Here is a 6,000-nt window from a genome sequence, read left to right as displayed (position 1 = left end):
GATGTGTCCAGTAGCTGTGGACCTGCCACTCTCTTGCTAAACAGCAGTCATGTCAAAAACAGCTTAGGTTTCCAAAAGCTGATTTTGCACAGCACACAATCTTTTATGGAGACTTTAGGTGATTGTCTTAGGCTGTTTGTGTTACTATAAAGAAGTACTTGAGGGCAGGCAATTTATACAGAAAAGAGGTTTATTTGGCTCGTGCTTCTGCAGACTGTATAGGAAGCATGGCACCAGCATCTTCTTTTGGTGAGGACCTCAGAAGTTTCCAATCACGGCAGAAGGAGAGCCGGCTTGTTACATGGCAAGAGAGGACGTAAGACAGAGAGGGGAGGAGGTGCCAGGCTCTTTTTAACAACCAGATCTAGAGGGAACTAAGAGTAAGTACTCACTCAATCCCAGGAGAATGGCACCAAGCCATTCATGAGGGGTCTGCCCCCATGACCCAAACACCTCTCACCTCCAACACTGGAGATCAAATTTCAAAATGGGATTTGGAGAGGACAAATATCCAAACTATGTCAGTGATAAATAAGTAAAAACCTGTTTAATTCCTGTGTTTCAGGAATTGAAAATCACCTTGTCCTGAGCTGCTCTTTCTCAGGAAACTGATGGCTGGATACTCCTTGCTCAGCTGCTAAGCCCAAGTCCAGGAGCTTTATGTTATGGGGAAAAGGCAAGAGGACTCTGGATAAGGAGGGCCAGCATCACAGGGCCTGGCTGCACTGCAGATGGGGAGCAGGGAGTCCCTCAGTTCCCAGGAGTGAGGAAGAGCCCCACAGGTGGCTGGGATCTCCTCCATCCACAAGGCCTCCTCCCCTACCCTGCCAGCTCAGGGACCTGGCTCACTTTAAATGTGGCTTCTGGGGTTCACTCTTGTGAGTGGGACTAAGAGTAATTCCCTAAGAGTGGCAAGAAAGTCTAATGGTTATGGGACTTTGGAGCCAAATAGGTTTGGGTTTGAATCTCAGTGTTGTAGCTGTGTGGACTTAGGTAAGCTGCTAAGCCTGAGTTTATTTTCTTATCTGTAAAATGAGAATGCCACCTGCCTCATAAGGTTAAGGTCAGGATTAAATGAGATAAAGCATGCACTTAGCACAGTGCTTTTATTATGATCGTTATAAATGGAAGCCACTCCATGAAGTTTACATTGAGATTTCCCAATGTTCAAGTGAGCGCGGCACTAGAAGTTGGATAATTTGGAGCCATTGCCCTAGTGAGAAGACTCTGTATGAGAAATAGTGAGTGTGCTAATACCACAGCTGCCACCTGCTGTAATAGCATAAACATGGAGAGCTGAGGTCAGGCTAATGCATCTGGCCATCCAATGGCACAAGAGTGACCCAATGGCCCAGCGATGCGCAAGCTGGAGAGCTTGAAAACAAACACCCCAGCTCTTGTCCTGGAGACGCTGATTTAACTGGTCAGAATTGACTGAGGCCTAGGCTTCCATTGTTTTTAAAGCTTCCCAGTGATTCAAATGTACACTCAGATCTAAGAACCACAACTCTAGCTGGGAAGAAAACAGTGGAGTTTTCTTGAATCTTTTGTCATTTTCATTCAACTGGCAAACACACAATCTCTTTGATGGGCCAAGCCTAGGACCAGATGCTTGGTGAAGTCCAGATTCCCAGCCTCGAGGATCCCAGATTCTAACAGAAGACACCAACAAATGGATAGGCAATAATGATACTGTGGATGCGTCTATGACAGAGTATAGGCTGGAGCTGAGGGGGAACACACCTAGGAGGGGGTCTAACCCAGCTCTCTGGATACAGCCTGTTGGCAGAGGGGGCGTTCTGGGCCAAGGCAACAGATTTTACAAAGCACCAGAGAAGAAAATACATAGAACACGCCAGAAACTCCAAGGAATTTGGCAGAACTGGGCATGAGCACAAGGCCAAAAGATGAGGTGGGAGAGGCAGAGACAACATTTCTCATAAGGCATGCAGAGGGTTCGGGTTTCAAGCAGGGGGTGGAGTCGTCAGACTATTCTAGCAACTGGGTGGAGGATGGATCAGAGGGAGACAAGCCTGGACATGGAGAATCTGTTCCCAAGGTGGTGGCAGCAATCCAGGAAAGTTGGACATGGGATAGGTTTGAGAAGTATTCACAGAGGACAAGCTGGGTGACTGGGAGCATACTGGGGAGTCAAGGAAGAGGCCCAAACTTCTTGCTGAAGCACTCACGGGGATCAGGGCAGGAGGGAAGGTGGGGAGGAAGTGTGTGGTGGGAGCAGAGGCCTTTGGAGGAAAAGTCAATTCTTACTTCATCTGAGACCATCACATGGGCTGGTCAATTAAGCCTAACAGAAATCCTGCCCATTCTGTATTTTTCCGACTTCCATGGTGCAAGGCATTCTAACAAGTGGAATAGTTTACTAATTTGAAATGTTTTTGAGGGTTCTTGTAAGATGGCAAAGAGGAGTTTTAATTAAATGAAAGGAGCATGGCCTAGGACAGTGCCAGGCTGAGCACACAGAGCTCGTCTTCTTTCTCAGCCCAAGAATGTGGCCCAGCTCCTTTGCTTTCACCACCTGATCTGAAGATGCCTGAGGAGAGGGCCAGGATTACATGCCTAGAAATCCTTGAAAATGAAATGAAACGAGGTGAGGTGCTTGGTCCTCACCTCTGCAGAGAAACTGACACAGCAAAACCATCATGTTAACGTGTTGTGCAAGCCACACATGTCAACAGGCTTGTAAGCAGCTCCATTTATTTGAGTAAATATCTTGTAAATAAATCATTGGTAAACAATACAAAATTAAATACATTTTCAAAAGCTTGCCAGTATACGCAAAATTCACAAACATAGTTTTTTTAAAAAATAAAATATGTTCAGAGCACCCTTGATATAAAATGCCTGACCCCCATCCTTGGACAAGGCCACCTGAAGACATCTTATGGTAGGTGGGTTTCTGTGGGAGTCAGCGGGGGCCTCCTGGAGGGAAGGGTTTCTACTCTCACCTATTACCCATCCCACATTCCATCTGAATTTTGATCCTTCTCCAAAGAGCTGGTAACTGAGAGGGCTAGAGCACGCCACCAGGCCTAGCTCCAAGCACGGGGATCAGGGTGCACAATTAGGGCCAGGAGCACCCAGAGTCCTCAACACAAGCCATTGAGAGAAGCCAGAAATGCAATCTCCACACTTCCAAACCAGCAACTCAGCTCCTAGAGCAACTGTCTTGAGAGAATGTGAGGCTTTCTCACCTTGACACTTAACACTCGGTTTACTCCCACTGGTCTGATACTACCCAGGCACAGAAGCTACCAGAACCTATTTCTAAGGAAGAAGACACTCGATCTGCTAACTTTCTTTTGATCTGCTTTCCTGGAGAGAGAATAAACACAGTACTCGGTGGAAAGCAGACAATTCACTGCTACACAGTGCTTCCTTTTTCCAATGCAAAATACCACTGAGATAGTGTGGATATTTCTCTAGAAATCAAGTTAGTTCTTCAAATTAAGGGTTCATACAACTTTAAAAGACTACAAAATGAGACAATAAGCACATGACCTGGCAAAGCATCCCAACCAATGAAATAATAGAAATTCCATAAATTAAGCCCTTGACCAACTTAACATTTCTGTGGTGTAGTGCATTAAAATAACGGATACACTGAATTCTTTCACTTTGGTGCATAAAGTGAACGTTGAAGTCAGCAGCACTCAGTGAAGAATGCCTAGTGGCCTCTTGAAAACACATGTGCTGGGACCTCCAGTTAAAGGACAACCACAAGTTTATTCCATCCATGTGAAATAAAACTCACATCAACATTTTAACTTAGTTGTGTGTAGATATATACAAGTGTGAGAAATTTGACAGCTGAGTCAAATGTACAACTTAAGAAAAAAAATATTACCAAACTACTTGTAAGAAAACTATCTTCCCTGTATCATAAGGTACTGAACATCTGAGTCCTTGCAGGAAACGCAGCCTGGCGTGGCCCTTCCTTGAGTGTCCACCTCCTTTGATAATCCTTGGTTAGGCTGTGGCTAGAGTCATGATATCTTTGCTATTAAAATATTACATTAACAAAAACCTTTAAAACCAAAAAAAGAACGCTCTTGAATAAATGTCTAATAGACCCCCCCACCTTCACACCAAAAAAGAAAAAAAAAAAAACAAAAACGTTGTTCATAAGGACACCTATTCTTTCACAAAAGTCTTCATGAAGTACAAATCCCAGGACTCTTTCTTCGTCTCTGGGAGAGTTTCACCCTGTTCCAGAATCATACACTCTTCTTCTGCGGAGGGCTCAGTTTCCTCATGCCTCTTATCCGAGAAAGCAGCTCTTTGATAAATTCCTAAAAGAGATCAGAAGAAGTTAATATGAGGGTCACTATTAAAATTCTGTGTTTAAAAATCTGCTTAAAGTAATTGATGTCAACTGCAGTTAACCTTAGTTGATGAATTTGGTTGAATGTGTTAACCCCCACTGGTATAATACAGGATTTTTAAAAACAAATCAAGAATACTAAAACTTCACACCACAATGCCTTCTTATTGTTCTACTTTCTTTACGGGGGAAACCAGGCTACTTTCACTACTGACATGACCTACTTGGCCCCTGAGGCATTTGTGTTGAGATCAGAGCTATTTAACATTACCATGCAAATAAATTAACTGGTGATCTCACAGATTCTGAGTGAGCCTGTCCAGGTTGGGGTCTGAGATTCTGCATTTCCAACTAGCTCACAGGTGATGCCAGTGTTAGTCCTTGAACCTCACCAAGAATGGCAAGGCTGGACTAGTGTGCCTCAAATTTGAGTGTGCATCAGAATCACCAGGGGGACTGCTATGGTTTGAATGTGTCCTCCAAATTTCATGTATTGGAAACTTAATCCTCAAATTAATATGTTGATGGCATTTGGAGGTAGGGCCTTTGGGAGGTAGTTCGGATTAGATAAGGTCATCAGAGTAGGGCCCCCAAGATGGGACTGGTGACTTTATAAGAAGAAGAAAGTCCTGAGCTGGCACACACTTGTCCTCTCACCATGTGACAACCTCCACCATGACATGACGCAGCAAAAAGGCCCTCTCCAGATGCCAGTGCCATGCTCTTGGACTTCCCAGCCTCCAGAACTGTGAGCTAAATAAACCTCTATTATAATAAAATACCCAGCCTGTGATATTCTCTTACAGCAACAGAAAATTGACTACTAAGACAGGGACTCATTAAGGACCACACAGTGCTGGGACCCACCACTAGTGTTTGTGATTCAGTAGATCTGGGTGGGGCCCAATAAGGTACATTTCTGACAAGCTCCCAGGTGACACTGATGCTACTTATCACTGGAGAATACTGCACACCACTGGTGTAGATCACACTAAGAGTCTTTGAAGTTTTTTGACAGCAAACTATAGATAAAAAAACCACACCAAAACAAAAACACACTTTATGTTACAATCCGGTACCTACAAACACACATCTGAAATTAAAACTTACAGGATACTTACTACATGCCATGCACTCTGGTATTTCTATTCTACTCTAATTTCATTTACAAAGTAATGCTAGGGAAGACTCACTAAAAGGATTTCATGACCTGTAAATCGATCAGAACCTAAAGACTGAAAAATGATCCAGAATGGTTCCCACTTTACACAATCAGGAATCTCTCATTGTTGCCTCCTGTTTTAAAATGTTTGGCCACCAGATAAGTCATATTTATTAGGTAACAACTACCTGGTCTTCCTGTTTTATATTTGTCAAATACAAAGCTAACAGCCAATCAGACTTTCTGATCAGCAAGCGACAGTCAGTAAGTGACAGAACTGAGCACATCAGGGACTATCTGAGAGCAAAAACACCGAGGAACTTTGCTGTCCATGGAGCCATCTGAAAAACAGCTCTCAATCTCCCTTATCAATTATAATCCTCACTCATGAGCTCCCAGACTAAATGAGCCCTGCACTACTCTCTGGCTATAAAGCACAGTAACCCTAAATATTTAATATTATATTAGCACCAAAATTTATTTTATGAATAATCTT

The 6,000-nt window shown here is 43.5% G+C and overlaps 1 protein-coding gene across 1 annotated transcript in view; it reads right to left on the bottom strand.

Moving 5' to 3' along the window:
- Window positions 1-2,663: 2,663 nt before the first annotated feature.
- Window positions 2,664-6,000, bottom strand: part of PPP1R14C (protein phosphatase 1 regulatory inhibitor subunit 14C) — a 107,349-nt gene continuing 104,012 nt past the window's right edge. The window contains exon 4 of the mRNA NM_030949.3: window positions 2,664-4,310. Coding sequence (NP_112211.1) covers window positions 4,236-4,310 — 75 coding nt within the window. The 3' untranslated portion in view covers window positions 2,664-4,235. The remainder of the gene's footprint in view (window positions 4,311-6,000) is intronic.

This window comes from Homo sapiens, chromosome 6 (assembly GCF_000001405.40).
Source record: "Homo sapiens chromosome 6, GRCh38.p14 Primary Assembly".
Classification (NCBI taxonomy): domain Eukaryota; kingdom Metazoa; phylum Chordata; class Mammalia; order Primates; family Hominidae; genus Homo; species Homo sapiens.
This window is presented reverse-complemented; position numbering and strand designations above follow the sequence as displayed.